The sequence below is a fragment of the Homo sapiens genome, chromosome 11 (assembly GCF_000001405.40).
Source record: "Homo sapiens chromosome 11, GRCh38.p14 Primary Assembly".
In the NCBI taxonomy this organism is placed as follows: domain Eukaryota; kingdom Metazoa; phylum Chordata; class Mammalia; order Primates; family Hominidae; genus Homo; species Homo sapiens.
The window spans coordinates 73397914-73419398 of NC_000011.10; the positions used below are offsets into that span (position 1 = coordinate 73397914).

The 21485-nt window shown below is 48.0% G+C and overlaps 1 protein-coding gene across 5 annotated transcripts in view; it reads right to left on the bottom strand.

The window, feature by feature from the left end:
- Positions 1 to 2573: 2573 nt before the first annotated feature.
- FAM168A (family with sequence similarity 168 member A) overlaps positions 2574 to 21485 on the bottom strand; it is a 197626-nt gene continuing 178714 nt past the window's right edge. For 4 of the 5 annotated variants that reach the window (NM_015159.3, NM_001286050.2, XM_047426650.1 and 1 more), the window contains 4 exons: positions 13481 to 13623; positions 11574 to 11748; positions 9600 to 9730; positions 2574 to 8831 (listed from right to left, as the gene is read on the bottom strand). In NM_015159.3, coding sequence (NP_055974.1) covers positions 9618 to 9730; positions 11574 to 11748; positions 13481 to 13623 — 431 coding nt within the window. In that variant the 3' untranslated portion in view covers positions 2574 to 8831; positions 9600 to 9617. The remainder of the gene's footprint in view (positions 8832 to 9599; positions 9731 to 11573; positions 11749 to 13480; positions 13624 to 21485) is intronic. The other variant, NM_001286051.2, reaches the window with a different exon arrangement.

Here is a 21485-nt window from a genome sequence, read left to right on the forward strand (position 1 = left end):
CAGGGGAGGGGTGGGCGCAGGGTGGGCTGCAAGGCCAGGTGCTGCTGGGGGGTGAGGAGGACTGCTCTGTGCCCTGGTGAGTGGCACAGGAACTTGGTGGGATTCGCCTAAAGGGAGAGGGGAGACCAGGGCCAGGGCCAGGTGGATTGAGGGAGACAGCTCCCTGCCGAAGCCTGGCAGGCCATAGCTGGGTGGGGCCTCAGGCTCTGGGGAGAGACAATTTTCAGTTAATTTAGGGTTTTATTGTTTGTTATGTTGTCTAAAGACGGGAGAGAGGGACACATTTAAACTAACGGCCTCAGAGAGAGGCTGAAGAACAAGAGTGACACCTGATGGAACCTGGGGAGGTGTGGAGAGGACCAGCCTGTGGGAGTCCCCGGCCTGTCTGCAGCAGGCACAGGGCAGCTATGGGGCGGCCATGCTGGGGCTGTCGGGAGGCCTGGCTTCACAGGGGGCAGGGGCCTTTCTCCTGAGCAGAAGCCAAGCTGGGGGCCTCCTCCTACCCTGGGCAGATGTGCTTTGGGATTTGACTCTCCTTGGGTACCTAGGGCACAGGTGTCTCTCTCCAGGGCTTTTCAGGTGGGCAGGAAGGGGAGGGACACCTCTGAAGATCCAGGAGATGTTTCACCTGCACCAGAAGAGGGGAAGGAAACAGAGGCTGGACATCAGGAGGGATGTTCTGGAGCAGAAAAGGATGCCAAAGTGTAGGACAGGGTGTCCATTGTAGGGGACTAGCAGGCATCACCAGTGTACCCAAATAAGTATTTCCTGCGGCTGCCAGAGTGTGTTTGGAGTCCCTATTTGCCAGCTGCTCAGCTGCATCTCAGGGTCTGGCCTCTCCACCTTGACTGGCCCTCAGCCTCCTTCCCCAGGGGAAGGCTGGGCTGTGGGGTCTAGATGCCCTCTCCACAGCCTGCCTGTCTCGCCTGGGCAGAGGTACATACACATGCAAGCCAGGGTGCACCAAGGCTGGGTGCAGGCTTCCAGGCCAGGGCTGAGCGCCCCCTCACAGTAAGCACTGTGCTCTCCTCCAGACTCCCCCTCCCCAATTTCTGCTTGCTGAAAGGTGTGGCCCTGGCCTGTTTCTTCACCTGTCCCTTGGGGTATTGAGGCTAGCTTGCAAGAGTGGGATGAAGAGCTGAGGGCTCAAGTAGGAGTGTGTCTGATGCCCTTGGTCTTCAGGGTCCTTACCCTCACCTGGAAGCTTTTCTGGCTTGTTCCATCTAAATCCCTGAAGCTTTGTCAGCGCTTGAGTTCAAGAGGCCCACGCGGAGGTGGGAGCTGGAGGACAGGGTGGGGTTCTGGGCTGACCACTGAGGGGAAGAGTTCTGAGCTTGACCTCTGTGCTCCACCCCTCTTCCCTATGGGCCAGAATGGTAGGGGCTGGGACCCAAGTCTCCACCTCCCCTCCTGCTCCTGGCCCTCAGCTCTGCCACTGTGACCTGGAGCTGAGCCTCCCTCTGGGAGAAAATCCCTTCCTGCACCGGAGAAACTGACTATGGTGACTCAGCCCCAACAATGCCTGTGGCCAGAGGTGCCCCCTCGGACACTGGGGGTGGGTTTCATATTGGATCAAGGACAGGAAGGGAGGCTGGGTGGAGGCACACGGTGAGATTTGGTGAGAGGCATTAGAGAGTAAGGAGGCCTAAAAGTTTTCATTTCAGCTGCAGTGTGAGCCAAGCTACTTGGCCTCTTTTGGCCTGTTTCCTTTCCAGGTGAGGAGGCTGAGTTCTTGGAGGTATAGCTATGGGGATGTGGAGCATGAACTGTAGGGGCCCGGCCCTGGGAAGGAATGGTGGACAGATAACCCAGTAAGAGAAGCCTGGGCCTGGGCTAGGGCAGTGGCTTCACCCAGAGGGGAGATAAGAGATTCAGATGATGTTTAGGAGGCAAAACTGATAGCACTTGATGGGACTGCTTTGGATGAAGGCGCCAGAGCCTCCCTCAGCTGTCCTTTTTCTGTAACCACAAACCACCAAGTGCCCCTTGGTTTCCCATCTGACAAATCCATCTTTTAAGAAAGCTCAGGGCGCTGGGTTCAGTGGCTCACACTTGTAATCCCAGCACTTTGGGAGGCTGAAGCAGGCAGATCGCTTGAGCCCAAGAGTTCAAGACCAGCTTGGGCAACATGGTGAAAGCCCGCCTCTACAAAAAAATACAAAAATTAGCTGGGAGTGGTGGTGTGCGCCTGTAGTCCCAGCTACTCAGGAGGCTAAGGTGGGAGGATCACTTGAGCCCAGGAGGTGGAGGTTGCAGTGAGCTGAGATTGCGCCACTGCACTCCAGCTGGGTGAGAGACTGTCTCAAAAACAAAAACAAACAAAAACAAAACAAAACAAACTCGGGCCTTGCTTGCTCTGAGATGGGCAGAACATGGGGCTTGGTGCGTGGGCTATGGAGCCAGAACAAGTGCCAAATGTGAGTTCTAACTCTGCCTCTCACCAGCTCTGTACCATCGGCCAAGGTACTTACCCTCCTCAGCTTCCCCATCTAAGATGGTGCTAACAACAGGGCTCACCTCACGTGTGCTGTGAGGACCGAATGCCTTAACAAACATGAGCAGCAGGCACCAGCCACACAATAGATGTCAGCTTTATTGCGCGGATGGCTCAATGGATTTCAACTCTGAATGGCCTCACTGTGCTCCCACATCACACACTTAGGGTGGGTGCTGAAGTTGCCACTTAAAGCTCCCCAGCAGCTGTGAGACCCTTAGGGCAGACCCCTGTCAGATCAGCTGTAAGATGTACCATAGGTTTTTCTTGACTACTGAGAACAAATTTAGCATCAACTTGGGGAGACGCCCAAGGGACTCACTGGCCCAGGACAGTCCTCTGTGCCTCCCTCCCCAAGAACCACTCAGTCTAGTCACCTAAGACTTTTTTTTGGGGGGGAATTTTTTTTTTTAATAGTTATTGAGTGTTCTACAGCTTACAGTAAATACCATAGTTACAAATTCTTGGCTTCAATCTTTCAGAGTGATCACTGTCTGATCTTCAAAACAAAACAAAAACCCAAAAGAATCCAAAACAACAAAACAAAACCAGATTTACACTTCATACACACAGGCAAGGCCATGGGGCTTTCCAATCTTTACACTCCGGACTGTGTTTTGAAAACACCTATAAATTCTTTGATCAAACTACTTGGAAGACACTGGTCAAAGGTTTATTATTATTATTATTATTATTATTATTATTTTAAATTTTATTTCTTTTTAAAATGTGAGTTCCAATAAAATTTAAAAATTAGATTCCAACCTGTAGATTAAAATGAATTAAAAAATACAAAATCATATACAACGCTCTCTTCACAGGGATGTTACATGCCATGAGAACAGGTTTCTCTGTCATGTGATATGAAACAGGGAAGCAGATGCCTTTAAGTCAGGATGGGGACAGGCCCTTGGGCCTTTCAAGATTATTACAGACAACTCCAAGTAGCTAGAGGCCTGGCCTTACCCCCCCTGGGTAAGGAGGAGCTTGAGTCACACCATAGATCCAGACTATCTGGCTGACCCGAGGAGAAGGTCTCTGGGACAGTCTCCTCTCTTTCCCTGACTCTCTTAGGCCTGAGGAGAAAGGCTGGGGTCTGGAGATGCTGGTCTTGCTGGGGTCAGGCCCAAAGCTGATCTCACCCATTTGATTCCTATGGGCCGGTACTTTGCAAAGCTGTTACATCTGTTCTCCTTAGGAAGGAAAATCCCCCTGCTATCAGTGGCTGGAATGGGTAGAGGACCTCTACCACAGCAAGGATATCCAGGGACTATCCATGTGGCCATAGGGAAGCAAGTGCTGTTTTGTCCCTTTCTAGCTTTGTGGCAGCCAGTCCCAACTCCTGTGTGCCTCGGTTGGCCTTTGGGTTGGACTCAACAGCATGCACCACAGAAGATATCCACTGGAGAGACTGAGGGACTGGGACCCAAGTCTGGCTTAGGCAGGGCTGGCCATGGAATGTTGAAGCTGGCCTGCCAGGAATTTTGAAGGCTGGGTCCTGGAACCATATAATGCCTAATTTCAGAAACGAGGAGTTTTCTAGGAAAGGGGCAGATAAGTAAAGGACAAACCCTGCAGCCCCCTTGGCATGCCTGCCTGTGCGCTCAGAGGCTCCGGTGTGGAATCCCATCAGTTAGTCTGGCGTGTTTCTTCAGCTCTGCGGGTGGGTCCCAACTGGCCCACTCTACTACTGCCCCTCTCTGGATTCCCAAGCTTGGCAAGCAGCGGGGGCCGCACAGCCAGTAGTGATGTGGGAGAATACAGGATGGAAAAGCAGACTTCCACGTATTTTCACTTAACTGCAATTGAGGAGGAATTCTGATACAGATGGTGATATATAAGACAAAGTTCACAGGGCCCAGAATGGGGCCCACCCCCTCTGGGCACAGAACAAAGCTGAGGAATTTGATATGGAAGCTCTGAGCCTCGCTTAGTCAGTGCCTCGCTGGGAACCTGGATGAGTCCTATCTGTATGAGGAGCCAAAACTTGGTGACCAAGGGGCCTGTCCTTTTATACTTCATGTGATTCCTTTCTGAAGGCCATCAGAACAAAGCAAGCCCTCCAAAGAAGGACCCCCAGATCTCTGGGAACGGGGTACCTCAAACTTGGAACAATTCGGGTGGCCAGGGGTAAGGATGCTCAGAGTCTGGTTCTGGTCCTCACCCATGGGAAAAGCAAGCCCAGGGACTTCAGTCTGTACGTTTTGTACCAACTCACTGGATCTGGACAGTGGGCAGGCTCTCAGGGATTAGGAAGCCAGGTGTGCAGGCTTACCAAGGACATGGGTCTCCCAATAGAAAGATGCCTCGTGCTGTCCTTGAACATGTCTTCGGTCCTGGGCATTGTGACCCCAAAGTGTTTTGTCCAAGTGAGGCCTTTAGTTGCAAATTCTCATCCTCCTTGTGCTGCCAGTTAGATGTGCCTCTGGGTCCCTCCCCAGGGCTCATTACAGGTCCTGGCCCAAAGCAGTTCATACAAATCTGCTCAGCTCAGAGACTGGGCTTCCCAGCTCTATAAAGTACAGTTAGCCCCTCCCTCCATGCTTGCCAAGAGACCCAGCAGGTGGCAGCAGAAAGAGCAGAGGATTTGAAGAATCACTTCCAAGCTGTGTGACCTTTTAGCAAGTCTCAAGCCTCCTGAGCCTTAGTTTTTTCATCTATAAAATGGAGGACTTTGGCAACCAATGTCAAAGTACTTTGCATACCAAAAACGCTCTGGACAGGTGTGTGTGTCTCTGCTAAATATTCAGGAAAGAGGATATACATTTTAGGGTCATTGCCAGGTAAGAAAGAACAGCAACTGTCCTATCTCATGAGGAAGAAATTAAATATGCATTTTTTTTCAAAACATGGCAAACCATTATGTTTCAGGCTTTCACTATTTGCAGGCAATCCAGCTCCCAGACTCAAACTTCTTGACCCCAGGCCAGTGAGGAGAGGGGGTCAGGTAGAAGTAGAAGAATTCAAAAGGGTTGGCTGGTAACGAGCCATCTGTACCCCTGATCCTGGCCATAGGTGTTGCACTTGGGGAGAGGCAGTGGCATGAGGAGGAGAGAGGGGTTTGCATCCTGGGGCCAGTGCTGTAGCTCACTGTCAGGCGGCTACATCCCTTGTCCTCTCTTGCTTGCCTGCCTTCAATGAGACGGCCCTTCCAGCTCTGACTTTTTGTCTAGCTTGACCACCGTGCCATCTAGAATCTTTGGAGGTATCTACCTATGGTACCTCCCACTAGATCTCTGTGACCTTACCAGTAACTGTGCCCATCCTACCAGAGGCACATGACTGTCCCCGCTCTCCTGGGCTCAGTCCTTTTGCAGTGACTCCCCAAGCTTGGCTAGGCTTGTGGATCTCCATCACAGCAAGAGGCTGAGGCCGGCTGAACTGGGGCTCATACTGAAAAAGGGGTGCTGGACCTGGGCTCTTCCAGACCACAGCCTTTCAGTGCCTTATTTTCACCTTGGGGCCCCCCTTTGCTCTTGAATTACATAGTAGGTGCTAAGATAGGGCACAGAGCACAGATGCTTCAGTACGTGAGCCTGTGTGGGGATCAGATGGAGGGGAACGAGACAGCAGACAGCCTGGGATTCGAGTGGCTCTGTCACTTATTAGCAAGTCACTTGACTTTTCCAAGCCTTGATTTCCTTATGGATCAAATAGGAGAAATAACCTCTATTTCATCGGGTTAAACCAGATAATTTATGTTCAACTGTTCTGTGAACTGTGAGGTCCAGCTGTTAGTTTTACTTACTGGTGTTGAAAGAACAAAAGTTACAAGGTCATTCCTAGGTCTCCTCTTCTTCCTTTCTCCTCTCTGTGGTTCCACCCCAGCCCACATGGAGGCAGCAGGGTTCTGGGAAGCCTAGCGGATACCAGCATGCTGCTCACTGTGGGCCTGTTCCCTTCCATAACCTGTTTCCTCATTTGTCAATTGACTGTAATAACTCTAACCCTGTCCCTCTCAGGGCGAGTACATGAAAGGCCGTGAAGTGCTTTGACCTCTGTGATGCACCTGACAAATCCAAAGGTTTCTATTATTATTATCATTATTATTATTTTGGCATTTTTCAAACACGTATGACATAATCTAGAACAACCTTCACCCACCTTTACAAAACCAAAGAGGGTGGAAGGAGGTATTTGCAAAAAGTGAATTAACACTGGAAAACTTTCTATTGTTTTAAAGTGAAACCTCATCAGCACCCAGAACAGATAATTTAGAACAGCTGAATTTTTTCTTACTGGTCCTAAAGTTCCTTGGAAGCCCAGGAAGGTGGGCCCCCAAACTCCTGGCTCTAGGCCAAGGAGGCTGATGGGCTTTACCCTCCTGGGAATGGCTAGACAGCTTCTGAGCTCCTTCCAACCCAAGGGTTTCCTGATTTTTCCCTCCCTTAGGGAGACATGGGAGGTTGGGGTAAGGATATGTCCAAGTTTGCATGAATTTTAAATGAAAGCAGTTTTTTAAAGTCCCAAATGTTGTCAATGATCCCATTTTTTACAATAAAATGTTCGTGCCCCACCCCCAGAGGGGCTGCTGGCCCAGCCAAGCGCTGGGTGCCGGAGGCTGCTGCTGGGCAATCCAGGCTCCTGGCTGAGACTAGCAGGGACCTCCTCGTCCCAGGGGTCCCTCTTCTCCCAGATGAGCCTGTCTCCTGGGCCTCATCCTCATTCTCCTCTCCTGATGACTCCCACTGTCTTCCTCCTCTTCCTCTCCTCTCGGGATGAGGGGCTACTGTCCTAAAAGCATGGCCTCTCCTTTTCGGCCAGTCCACCTGCTCCTTCTCCTGGAGGTGGAGTCAGGTACAGGACGGAAGTTCCAGATGTCTTCACAGAATTTCCAAATGCTATTTCTTCATTTGCAATTTCTGTTCCTGCCATCCGCCCCCATGTAGCCTCTGCCCAGTCTTCAACCCCCGCCTTTGGAGTCCGTGGAGGAAAAGAGCAGAAACAGGAGCCCAGAGACCATTCCAGACTCACCAGGTATGGGCGCTGCCGACTTAATTTTTACAAAACCAAGCCAATCCGTCCCTAGGTAAATTTTTGTAAGCAAGGTGCCCACTAGGTAGGAAGGCTGCATTTAATGCTAATTTACTGTAAGGTCTAGGGAAGTCCTTTCCGCTTCTCTGGGCCTCAGTTTCCTCATCTGCCAAATAGGGAAATGGATGAGATGATTGCTAAGGTCCCTTCAGTTCCATGAGTCTATGAAATGTTTATTGCTATTGCTTTTCCTTCACTATCCTCACCTTCAGAGCTGCCAGCACCCACCTGGAATGTGGTTCCTTCACTTGGGCCATGAATGGCACAGGTAACCAAGAGCTTGGCCTGCCTGCAAGCTCTATGGTCAGACAGGTGAGTCCTGGCACTGGGAAGGGCAAAAGAAAAGGGAGAGAAATGCCCTAGGTTCCCACTCCAATCAGGAGGAAGCTCCTCATCAGAGTGGGTCCATGACAGCTCAGAGGCTGAAGTCTGGATGACACAGGGCATCCGGCCTTCCAAGGCCTCGGGATGCTGGGATCCTACCACCCTGCAGCCGCTTGGCAGGTCTAAGGACAAAATCACCTTTTGAGGAAGTGCCAGGTCAGTTAACATCACTGTGCAAATCAGAAGGTCCAGGGCCAGATGCTTTGGCCAGAGACCTTTCAAACCAAAGCCATGAGGCAAGCACCGCTCCTCCCTTCTTCCCTCTCCTTCCCCACAATGCCCTCCCTCCCCCCACCCTCCCCCAAATTCTAAAGACTTTTTTCCCCAGGTTCTCAGCCTGGGGTATTAAGCTGCTAATAACACGCCTACATACTCAGGTGGTTTTGTTCTTGGTCTGTTGCAATGGTTCTCAGGAGACATTTCATTTGTGTCTGGGACATGGGAATGTCCTGAACTAATCTTGCTTAAGAAAAAACAACCAGAACACTCCCCTAGAGATGTAGCCTGCTCAACAGCTCTGAGTTCCTACCCTGGACCACATCTGTTTATGCTCTTCAAATGGAATCCAGCCTTCAGATGAACCACTGCAATAAACCCTACTCTCTGCTTGCCTCTAGACTGGGATCCCCAGGGACAGGACACTTAGGGAAGAGCAGAGAGGACATGGCCTGGTCAGGTAGGAGGAAGGGGATAGAGCTGGAAGGGCAGGGGCTAAGAGGGGGACAGTTGGGGAGAGGCAGGAGATTAGAAAAAGCAGCTTTTACAAAAACCAAAAATAAAAATCAAAACCATTAAAGATGCATAAAGTGACCCTTGCACTTCCGTTGTCTCTTCTTGCAAATAGAGGTGGTGCTGCTAGGGAACTGCTCCAGCACCGGTGTAAGACTTGAGTAGTTGCATACAATGTGTGACTCCAGATCTGCAGAGGGAAAGGGGAAAGAAACAGTGTCAGTGATATTCAGGAGGCTTCTCCCCTCAACTCGGGAGCCCGCTGTGCCTTCCTAGTGAAGCTGCCTGCCTCCCGCCTGTGGAAGTTGTTGTGCTCTGGTGCCAAGAGCCCTGGAGGAGATGGGGGAGGCCAGATGATGTGGGGGGCCAGAGGATTTCAAAGTGACATCCCTGGAGCCCTATGGTTCACTGTCACTGCCTCAGGAGCTGCTGAGGGGACCAAGGAAGCCAGAGGTCTGGGTCAGCCCAAAGCCTCCAAATAGCTCCAACCAAAGCTCTTAACATATGATCTGGGCAAGAGTTCATTTGAAGAATGGGGCCCATAGTTAAAAGAAGTCCGAAGACCATAAGGTAAATGGCACAGAATTTAGTACTAGAGAACTGAAGTTTAAGCCCTAGCTTAATTTTTACTGGCTAAGTGATATTTAACTACATATTTATCTGTAAAATAGAGCTAATGATCCTTATTTCACAGAGCAACTATAAGGATTATGAGATAACATAAGCAAAGGGATAGCTATTATTATTTCTGTTATTATTTAGATTTCAACAAGCAGTCAACAGAAGTGATAGCTATTATTAAGAGTGATATTATGGACCTTGGAGCAGGAAAGCAACTGGTAACTTGACAGCTGTTACCTGCCCTAGCTGACACCTGTGCTCCAGACCCAAACCAGGGACTTTGAGGCAGTTCCTGTATGTATCCCCCTCCCACTTCTCTCACCCTGGCCACACTCACTTGGATGGGCTGCAGGCTTTACCAGTGTGGGGGCACGTAGCTGTACGCAGGGGTTCCTTGGGCCCTATATGTTGGCATGGAGACAGGGTGTGCCCCAATCGCCGTGTGCTGGGGTGTAGTCAGCAGGGTACCTGAGCATCCAGAGAGAGAAGAGTAACCTGACGAGGCTGCACCAGACACAGGAATGAAGAGGATGAAGCTACAGTCTTTCACATGGCTGCTCCCTCTGCCCAAATCCCCCATCTCCCTCGCCTTCCTGATGACCTGTTTTCTGCCCTTCTCCACCTCACCAGGCTTCACCTCCTTAGGGGAATTTTTTCTGATGCTTGAGGACAGAATCAATGACTATTCTAAGTCCTCCTTTTCCTTTTTTCTTTGAGACGGAGTCTCGCTCTGTCGCCCAGGCTGGAGTGCAATGGCGCGATCTCAGCTCACTGCAGCCTCTGCCTCCTGAGTTCAAGCGATTCTCCCGCGTCAGCCTCCTGGGCAGCTGGGATTACAGGTGCCCATCACCACACTCGGCTGATTTTTTATTTTTACTAGAGATGGGGTTTCACCATGTTGGCCAGGCTGGTCTCGAACTCCTGACCTCAAGTGATCCGCCCACCTCGGCCTCCCAAAATGCTGGGATTACAGGCATGAGGCACCACGCCCGGCCTTCCTTTTACTTTTCTTTGTATGCTTCTCTTATTGCACAATCATACTGAGTAGTAATTGTGATGTCTGTGGCTGTGTTTCCCACACTAACCTGGGTGTTCCTTAAGGACAGTGTTCTGATCTGATCTATTGATATTGGGTTCCCAGGACCTGAACAAGGCTGGCACTGAGTAGATATCCAACAGTTTGCCAACTTGATCTGAGGAGTAAGAGGCCTCAACCATACCCTTACGTTAGGGACAGAATAAAATCCAAATGCTCACTCTACCCCTTGTACTTTCTTACCTCAGATGGTATCCTAGCTGGTTCTTTAAAAGTTGGGTCTCTAGGCTAGGCATAATGGCTTATATCTGTTACCCCAGTATTTGGGAGTCTGAGGTGGGTGGATCCCTTGAGCCCAAGAGTTCAAGACCAGCCTGTGCAACATGGTGAAACCCTGCCTCCACAAAAAAACACAAAAATTAGCTGGGTGTAGTGGCGCATGCCTGTGGTCCCAGCTACTTGGGAGGCTGAGGTGGGAAGATCACTTGAGCCCAAGCAGATCAAGACTGCAGTAGGCCAAGATCGTGCCACTGCACTCCAGCCTGGGTGACAAAGCAAGACCCTGTCTCAAAAAAAAAAAAAAAAAACCTAACAGTCCTTGGGGACTTCTGCTTTTGTCATCCCTCATAATTATTATAATTATTGCACAGGTCCTTAAGCTCCTGCCTAATAAAGAACATTGCCCCTGTGTCTTCTTTTTTGGCGCCCCTGCTGTTACTGGAGTGCTAGCATCATCTCTCTCCCCTAAAGTACACTGACAGCCTCCTCACTGACCTACTTGCTTCCAGATCACCCCTTCTAATCCTGTCTCCACTCTGCAGCCAGAGAATGTTTAAACCTAACCACATCCCTGCCCTGCTTGACCCCCATTGTGTGCAACAGAGGTACCACAAGGTATTCAGGACTTTCCACCATCTTATCCTTGCTAGCGATCCAGCCACCTTCCAACTCCAAGCCCCTATTTCCGAAGGGCCTTGGCTCCATTCCTCCATTCTGTGAACATGCCATGTTCATGTTCTTTCTGCACCACCCTTCCCTCTTTCACTTCTCTAGTTAGCCTGTGTTCACCCTTTAAGGCCTAGCTCGATACGTCCTTCTTGGTGAAATCTTCCTCATCCCCATAGACAGATTTAGAGGCTCCTTCCTCTGGGTTCCCAAGCCCCCTGGCACAGGATCTCTTGTGCTGTGCTGCAGCCAATTCTATGACTGTGTTCTCTGCTCCGTTTTGAGTTCCTAGAGGAAAGGGATGGACACTGATGCAGATGCTGCCCTCACCTGCTGACATTGCCATGGTGGTGCCTGCCACCATGCCCATGGCCACACCGTTGGTCCTCGGGGCGGCAACAGGTGCTGGGTAGATAGCAGAGGGAATGCTGTTGGGCTGGACGACCGTGGTATGGTGGATGACATGAGGCTGGGCAGCATACACCGGCTGTGTGTAGTAGGCTCCCTGGGGGAAAGAGGCTGAGGTCACATAGGCATTTGGAGAGGTAGGTGGGATATGGAGAGAGCAGCACTGGCTGAAGGACACAAGGTCCGGACCCCAGCTGGGGCTCTGCTTGTCTTACTATGTGACTGTGGTCAGTGCAGTGCTGGGCTCAGCTTCTGGTCTGAAAAATAAGGCTCTAATCCTGTCCTGCCTTGCTCATAAGGCTGCTATGATGATCTAATGGGATAAGAGCTCTACTCCCTTAACCTTGGTTTTAGCATTTTAAAATGTTTTATCTTACTGCAATGAACTTTTATAAGCTGCCTAAAATTTAAAGTTAGGAATAACAATCAATCAGTTACCAAGCATGTGAACAGGGCTGGTAAACTCCAGAACACATACACAAAAGGATAATTAGTAGTAGTATCATAATGGTGTAAGTGCATGTTGTAAAAAAAAAAAGTACATGTTGAAAAAAAATGGCGGCTGGACACAGTGGCTCACGTCTGTAGTTCCAGCACTTTGGAGGCCAAGGCAGGCAGATCACTTGAGGTCAGGAGTTCGAGACCAGCCCGACCAGCATGGTGAAACCCCATCTCTACTAAAAATACAAAACAATGAGCCAGGCATGGTGGCACATGCCTGTGGTCCCAGCTACCTGGGAGGCTGAGGCAGGAGAATGGCTTGAACCCGGGAGGCGGAGGTTGCAGTGAGCTGAGATCACGCCACTGCACTCCAGCCTGGGTGACAGAGCAAGACTCCGTCTCAAGAAAAAAGAAAAAAAAAAAAAGGCATACATGGATAGCATTTTCCAGGATGTCTCTTAACTAGCTATTTCCCTTTAGGTAAAAAGGTAAGGATGAAGAAGACAGTGGTCCAAGGTGACTCCCAATGCCTGAATCACATGGCTGCTTCCTGCTGCCACAATCCACTGGCCCACTGACTTGTAGGGGAAGTAAACAGGAGCCCCTGAGATCATCTTAATTCAGAAATCTTCAAATGTTTCTACTAAATGAGATTAAAAAAAATAAAACAAGAGGCTTGAGATCAATTTAAGTTTTGTCTTCTACTCTAAAATATAGCTGTTTTTTAAACTAAAAAAGTATTCTCCTCACCACTTATGTTTCCTATAGAGTCACTCCAGAAGAATGTGTCATGGGTGTGCTAGAGCCCCATATGGTCCCCTCTCTCATACCAATCCTGGAATGCATACATCTTCTAGCTGAAGGAGCCCAGAAAGGCCCATCAGGCACAGAAAGAGAGGGTAACTTGTCCAAGGTCACAGAGGATACTGGTGGCAGGGCCTGTGTACTTTCCTCCTCCCCACTCAGCTCACAGACTGAGGAAGGGTAGATGTGGGGGTTAGGGAGAAAAGACTAAGACGTTGGGGTCTCACCTTGACCAACCAATAGCTCGTGGTGTAACCTTGGACAAGTCATTCCCCTCTTTGGGTCTCAGTTTCCTCACTTGTTTAACAAAGGAGTTGAGCTAGAAAATCTCTGAGGGCCTTTGTCCTCTGACATTCTGGGCTCTGTTAATCTAAATGACTTCATGCCTACCCCCTCTAGGGGCTGAGGTGGAGTGAGGGAGTAAGCAGACTGCAGGGATATTGCTTCAGTGATACAACAAGGACGGCTAGCCAGAGCCACAAACCATCCTCTCCTTCCCTCACTTCCTCACCCTACCCCACCACACTGCACCCAGGCTGAAGGCTCCTCTACCTGCAGAAGAGGTGGCTTTGACATGTACCTACCTGGGCATACAGATTCTGCTGGGGGTAGGCACTTCTGATTGGATACATGGCCGTCTGATAGGGGTTGGGTGATGGGGAGTAGGGGGGTGGAGCAGTGTTACTCTGGGTCGGTGGGACCTTGTATGGTGTCCCCGCAGTATATCCTGTACCAAGGCAATAAGAGAGACTTCCAGTTAGTTGGCAGAAAAGCATTGCTAGAAGGCAGCAGGTCCCAGTCACGACTCCCCAGACAAAGATGGGCTGAATCCAGGCTGGAAACAGAGATGAGAACAAACAGAGAACAGGGCTCCACCCAGAAAGCCCTGGCCCCAGAGGCAGCTCCCTCAGTCCTGGTGCACAGGGCTGCATGGATGATTCTGGGCATCTTTTCTTTCTCTGGGTCTCAGGGCTCTCATCTATAAAATAAGAGGCTAGAACCACATGGTCCCTTTTAGCTCTGACAGCCTGGGATTTGGAGCTGTCTGTGTGAAATGGGCAGGTGCACAGAGATGGAAACCCTCAACTCACTTGCTCTTTATTGCTACTCTACTTGCTTTTCTGTCTTCTCACACAGAATCCAGGGTATCTTTTTGCTGCTGTTTCTGTCTTTCTCTCTTTTGCTCTATTTCTTTTTCTCCTTATCTCTCTCTCTCTCACTCTCTTCTTGGACTTCCCTCCATCATGTTCCCTCCCCTCCCCACCAAGTTTGAAGGTGAAAACCCCATACAAAACACCATTCGGAGACCCTCATCTTCTGGGATGCTGACCATACAAAACACCATTCGGAGACCCTCATCTTCTGGGATGCTGACCATACAAAACACCATTCAGAGATCGTCATCTTCTAGGATGCTGAAAAACTTTGCTCTGCAGAGTTGGCTCCTCCTTCTCTCCTGGGCTCTAGGGGAAGGCCACCTCTGCCTGAAAATACCTGAAGTCAGGGATCACAAAGATTCACATCAACCTGGAACCTGGGCCATGTCTGTCCCTCAGCAGGATGGACAAAAGCTGGAGCTAAGAATGGGGCTGAGAAGTCAGGCCCCAAGAAGCTCACAATTGCCCATGTAAATAAACTGTGCTGCCTTTTAATCCTCCGGAAAAGAGTGACAGATCCTTTGTTCACAGAAAAAAACTTGAAACATGAGTCATTCAGGAACAACACTGTCTCCTTTTAGAATCACAAAATGGAATCGTTCTACGGAACCCAAGTGATCATCAAGGGACTCCAATCCTTGGACTTTACACAAGGGGATCCTGGGCTCAGAAAAGGCAAGTCTTTTTAATAACTTCTCCTAAAGACTCTAAACTCTTCTAAGTTGAAGGGACAGTGCCTGAGGACCTAGGCTTTGAAGCCCTGCTGGGGAGGTGCTGAGGTGGCTTCTTTCCTGTGGTTCCATCTTGGGTAAGTCTAGCAGACCTCACTGAACCTCTCTGGGCTTCAGCTCTTTCACCTATAAGATGCTCACCAAGGACCCTTTCAGCTCCGAGGTGCTGTTTCTATCATATAATAAGGGACTAGGGGCAGAGTGGAGGGAGTGCTTTATTGGAAGAGAAGACATCTAGTCTTCAGTCCTGGCTTTCCCCCTAATTTTTCATGACAATTGTCAAGTCTTTGGGCCTTAGTTTCTTATTTTGTAAAATCAGGTGGCTAAGAATGAAGATCTCTTCCTAAACAAAAATTCCATGGTTCTAAAGATCCTGGGTCTCTTCTACCTTAACCCCAAGTAAAAGCAAACTACCACATGGTCACAAATCTTTCTCAGTCCACATCACACCTCTTTGGCTTAGCACCCCCCTGCCCCTGATGACTCAGGAGGATAGGAGAGCTGCTGCACAGCTGCCACAAAAGTCAGCCTGTTCCTGGATTCACGTCATTTATTTTTTCACCTGCAGATCCATAGTTTTTTCCATAGTTTTGTGATCAAATATGCTTGGGAAATAAGTAACAATGAGGATAGAATGGAAAGTACATATGAAAGAGAGGGAAGCATGTTAAAGAGAAGTAGAAACTAACTGGAAGTGCAACTATGAGCTGAGTGAGAAGTCTAGAGCAGATTTCTCAAAGTTTCTAGATTATGGAGCTAATGATGAAATGTGGTCATAGGAGGAGAAGCAGATACTGTGGGGGAAGACAGGGAGACTAGCTTTGCAGATGTCTAGAAGGAACCATCTGATGTGTACGGAGACACAATTTACTTATCTATAAAATAAAGGGGTTTTATAGATAAACCAGAGATAGACATTTCCCAAATGTGGACAACGTACTATAGATCCCAAGGGATCTTAATAGTTGTTTTTGCCAAAGAAAAGGAAACAAAAGAGTTCTATAGTCCCATATGTAAAATAGAGATAAACAGTTAAGATTTTGTTTTTATTCCATGACCCTGAGAAGTTTTTAAAACAATAGGATGGGCTGGATGTGATGGCTCTCACCTATAATCCCAGCACTTTGGGAGGCCAAGGCAGGAGAAGCACTTGAGACCAGGAGTTTAACACCAGCCTGGGTAACACAGACAGACTACATCTCTAAAAAAAGAAAAAAACTTAGCCAGGCATGGTGGCTGGTGTAGTCCCCAGCTACTTGGGAGGCTGAGGCATGAGGATGGCTTGAGCCCAGGAGTCTAAGGCTGTTGTGAGCCATGATCACAACACTGTACTTCAGCCTGGGTGACAGAGCAGGACCCTGTCTCTTAAAGAAGGTGGGGAGGTGAACTGTGAATCTCTAAGATGGGAGTATGTACAAGACTGTATTTTCCAAATTAATTTTACCACAGAATCTTTTATTCATACTATAAACATTTAAAACAATTAAATTTCAGCCATGTTTTTTGTAATTGAAGCTAGTTTTGGTAAACAAAGTTATATTGTAACACATCCACATCCATTCATTTACATATTGACTAAGGCTACTTTCCTGCTACAATGGTAGTCACTGACAGAGAGCATATGGCCTTTTTAAAAGCCTAAATATTTGGCCCTTTACAGGAATGTTTGCTGACCCCTAATTTAAAGGAATATATCAAGGTGTAGAGAAACCTAGCAGAGCTGAAAGCATCCCTTTTCTATGCAGGAGAGTAGGACACCCCTGAATCAGAAGGTGCCTGTTTCTGAAAGCTCTGTAGCACAGAGCCATGGTTATGAGCAGTCTGGAGACAGACTGACTGCCTGGGTCCAAACCCCCAGCTCTGAGACTTAATAGCTATAGGATACATCAGTCTCGCGTGTGATATGGGAACAGTAATGGTACCTACTTCATTGTGATAAATACATTAACTGTTAAGTAAAAAGCACTTAGAACAGTACCTGACATATTAGAAGCACTTTATAAAGATCAGCTATTATTATTTTCTCTCTCACTTTATAGGGACAGTAAGCTTCTGTCCTAAGGGTATGCAGGCAGAGCCTGGTCTGAGAGACTAAAGCTAATCTATGACTACTATGGTCTGTCCCAGCTTGGAACACAGACTCCAGGATTCTAAGATTCTAAAATGTTATGGCTTAAAATGCCATGATTTTATGATTCTTTAAAGTTAACAGGCCAAAGATGCTGATGACTTTCCTTTATGCTCCTGGAGAATGTGCTCTGGAATTTTTCTCTTCCCTGGGGAAGCTGGATTACCCACTGTATGCCACAAGGACAGCCATATTACAAAGTGGTGAGACTATCCCTCTGAGGAAAATCAAAAAGCTCCAAGAGACTGCAGTAGAATTTGGTTCCCACATCTAAGAATAACCTTGTCTGAGAATGTTTCCCTTTCTTCATGTTATGAAATGAGACACACACATACTCAGAATACAAATCAGTAGCCAAAACACCCTTGGCAGCCAAAGAGATGATGCTGCAGAAGAAGGCCTTGCTTGTTTGTCCAGACAGTCTGAGATAGAAGCAGAACTGCAGAGCTAGAAGACTCAGAGATCATTAAGACCAACGTAAACATTTCACAGATGAGATAATGAGTAGTTGCTGAAAGAGAGAGCTGTTTGTGGGGATCTAAGACTCAGTGCTACTTCCTCTAACCACAGTGGTTCTCAAGGTTACCATTTGTCAGGAGGATCTTCATGAGGCTGGAGAAACTGCCTGGGGGCCCTCATCCTAGGTTCTGTCAGTAAGTCAGGTCAATTCCTCTCAGGGAATATCCTCATTTGGACTAGACAGTATCAGAGAACTTCTCTAGTGCTGACATTCTAGGTCTCTGAGTATTTCAGAAGACTTTCATGAGGAAATCATTTCAGAGGACTTTCCATAATTTACTAGTGGTCCTGTCAATACTCTTGAGGAACACTGAAAATTCCCCTGGAGCTATAGCCTGAGCTTGGGTGACACAAAAATCAGGGTTTATTACTTTATGCATCTAAGTAAAAGAAGCTGTTGGGCTTGTTGCAAAAAAGTCTCACAGATTTTGCCCAAATGAACTTAGACTCAGTTCACTCACTGGAGGCCTGGCTATCCTGAAAGGAATTCTAAGTCTGAAGGTCACAGAATTAAGACTTTGGAATGTTGTGCCTGAAGGACATTAGAGGTTTATATTCAACCTCCTCCTTTTCCGAGAAAGAACCTGGAGCCCAGAAGGACAGATTTTCCCCAAATTGTACAGCACATCAGTACACAGCTAGGCCCAAAGTTCAGGGCTCACCCTGCCCTAGGCAGAGCTCTTGCTGAGTTAAAGTCTCTGTAGTCCAATCTTGGGCATTTAATATACTGGCCTTTGTTGTCCCCATTTCACTAAAGGCAATATCATGAAAGAAAAAATGAATTAGATCACTCGAAGTCCCAGCTCTGCCTTATAAAAGAGGCTTTGTTTATGATGTCCTATTCTTTCTCTTAGGTTCCTAACCATAATTTTAGAATCAAATGGGATAATAAAAAGAGTATGTACATTAACAAGATAAAACCTTTTCAGCGCTTTCTGCAATCCTTTTTCACTGTCATAAATCTTTTTCAGTTGTAGAAGCCCTACCACCTTCAAAGGCTTGATCCTTGCATCACGGATGCCTTTTAGACTAATTGGTTTATTGATCATCAGATTTATATGTCTGGACAAAATAAAGCTCTATGTCTGAATCTTGCTTTGACCCCTAAGACTCCTTGTTGGTAGCCAAGTGAGACAGTGATGAATCAGCAGGAGACCTAATTACAAACAGGCTTAGCAAGTATCAGTGAAATTGAACTGAATTTGTCAAAGTGCCCTGAATTTTCTGTGGTACTAGAAGCCACAAAATCTGAATGCTGGGAGGAATCTTTTTGAGTATGGGAGGGCCAGTCAACCCCAACTGCATTAAAAAATGGCACAGGTTTATACATTACTTGCTTGAAACAGAGGTAGGCCAGGCATGGTAGCTGGTGGGCAGACAGCTTGAGCCCAGGAGTTCGAGACCAGCCTAGGCAATGTGGGAAAACCCCATCTCTACAAAAAATTAAAAAAATTAGCTGGGCATGGTTTTGCATGCCTGTGGTCCCAGCTACATGGGAGGCTGCGGAGGGAGGATTGCTTGAGCCTAGGAGCTTGAGACTGCAGTGTGACGTGATTGTGCCACTGGACTCCAGCCTGAGTGACAGAGCAAGACCTTGTCTCAAAAAAAAGGTGGGGGTGGGTACATTTTGGTCTTTTTCAGGGACTGTGATAGCCTGTCTGGGAGGGAACAGTGGGATGTGGCTGCTGGACACTTAATGGGATTTCAGGAAGATTTCAACATAGTAGAAGGCAAGGCCTTCTGTTACTCAGACTTCCTGTGGAAAGGGTTGCCTCTGAAGGGAATGAGTACTCCATTTTTGGAGATGGTTTGTTGGCCAGCTAAGGGCAGCTAGAGAGGTGGTCCCTGTTGGGGTGGAAGACGCTGAGTACACATCATCTTGCTGAGAGATAAGGAGTCTAATTGCAAGAAAGAACCTTGGAGATGATTTAGTTCAGTTCCCTCATTTTGCAGTTTGAAAAATCAAGGTCCAATGCATGGACATCAATTATCCAAGGTTACACAGAACCCAGTCTAGAATTCAATGCAGCTTCCACTCCAGGCTGCTTTCTGCTACACTACAGTAGGTGTGCCTATATGCGTCTATATCCAGATGTTTAGATGTAAGAGAGAACATGTATATCCCTATTTTTATATATATATAATCTTACGTATGTTCATTCATTCTACCTGAGGTATCTGGAGAAACTCCTTATGGCTGACATACCTCTCTCTCTTTTTTTTTTTTTTTTTTGAGACGGAGTCTCACTCTGTTGCCCAGGCTGTAGTGCAATGGCGCAATCTCGGCTCACTGCCAGCTCCGTCTTCTGGGTTCACACCATTCTCCTGCCTCAGCCTCCCGAGTAGCTGGGACTACAGGCACCCGCCACCATGCCTGGCTAATTTTTTGTATTTTTAGTAGAGATGGGGTTTCACCATGTTGGCCAGGATGGTCTCGATCTTCTGACCTTGTGATCCGCCCACCTCGGCCTCCCAAAGTGCTGGGATTACAGGTGTGAGCCACCGCGCCTGGCCTGACATACCTCTCTTAAAGAGTAAAATCAATCTCATGAGAAAAGTCAGTAACTGAATCTTAACCTGGGTGATACCTTTTTCCGGCTGTGCTGCTTACTAGCTGGGTGGCGTTGGACCTATTACCTTTCTAGGCCTCATCGTTCAAACTGGGATGAAAATCCACCTAAATAACTTAGTAGACTGAGTGTAATGTAGATTAAATGAAAGGGTGATTATGAGACTATATTTTACAAAAGGTGAGTTACGTTGTATAAACATAAACTGATGTTGACATCTAGGGGCAATGAAAACTTGAGAAAATGACATTGGATGTTGATATGGTTTAGATGTTTGTTTCCTCCAAATGTCATGCTGAAATGTAACCTCCAGTGTTGGAAATGGGGCCTGCTGGGAGGTACTGGATCACAGAGGTAGATCCCTCATGATGGCTTAGCACCATCCCCTTGCTGATGAGTGAGCTCTGATTATTTAGAGTGTGGCACCTTCCCAGCCCCTTGCTCCCTCTCTCACCATGTGATATGCTGGCTTCCTCTTTTGCCTTCCGCCATGACTGTAAGCTTCCTGAGGCCCTCACCAGAAGCTAAGCAGGGGTTGGTACCATGCTTGTGCAGCCTGCAGAACCGTAAGCCAATTAAACCTCTTTTCTTTATGAATTACCCAGCCTCAGGTATTTCTTTATAACAACACAAGAACAGACTAACACAGATGTTTTAAAGAAAAGAAAAAAATACAATGAATTCTTCTAGTCTACTTACTTAGTAGATTAATAATTTGTGGAACCACACACTATCAGGCCTTGCCTGGAATATCCCTTTGAGGGCTTATCCAGCCCTCACAACTTAAGAGAGAAGTTCTCACCACATCCAAAGTCAGTCATTCCTCTATTGAACAGCTCCAACAAGACACAAAGTTCTTCCTTATATGGAGTCAAAATGCCACTCAGTAATTTCATTTTTTTTTTTTTTTTTGAGACGGAGTCTTGTTCTGTCGCCCAGGCTGGAGTGCAGTGGCGTGATCTTGGCTCACTGCAAGCTCCGCCTCCCGGGTTCATGCCATTCTCCTGCCTCAGCCTCCTGAGTAGCTGGGACTACAGGCGCCCACCACCATGCCCGGCTAATTTTTTTTGTATTTTTAGTGGAGACAGGGTTTCACCGTGTTAGCCAGGATGGTCTCAATCTCCTGACCTCGTGATCCGCCCACCTTGGCCTCCCAAAGTGCTGGGATTACAGGCATGAGCCACCGCGCCCGGCTGCCACTCAGTAATTTCTAAACATTGGTCCTCATTTCCCCAGTGGAACCACTTTGTGTTAAAAATTAGATGTGACGGTGACAACATCAGTTACCCTACTGAGCCTCAGGATGAATATGACCAGTCTGACTGGCTAGCTGGTTTCTGGCCTCCCTGAAGACTCCTCATACACACCTTGGTCCCACAGTGCAGCTTGCACTAGGGCAGTGTTTCTCATACAGAGGGCAATTTTGCCCCATAAGGGACACTTAGCAATGTTTAGAAACATTTTTGGTTGTCACAATGAGGCTT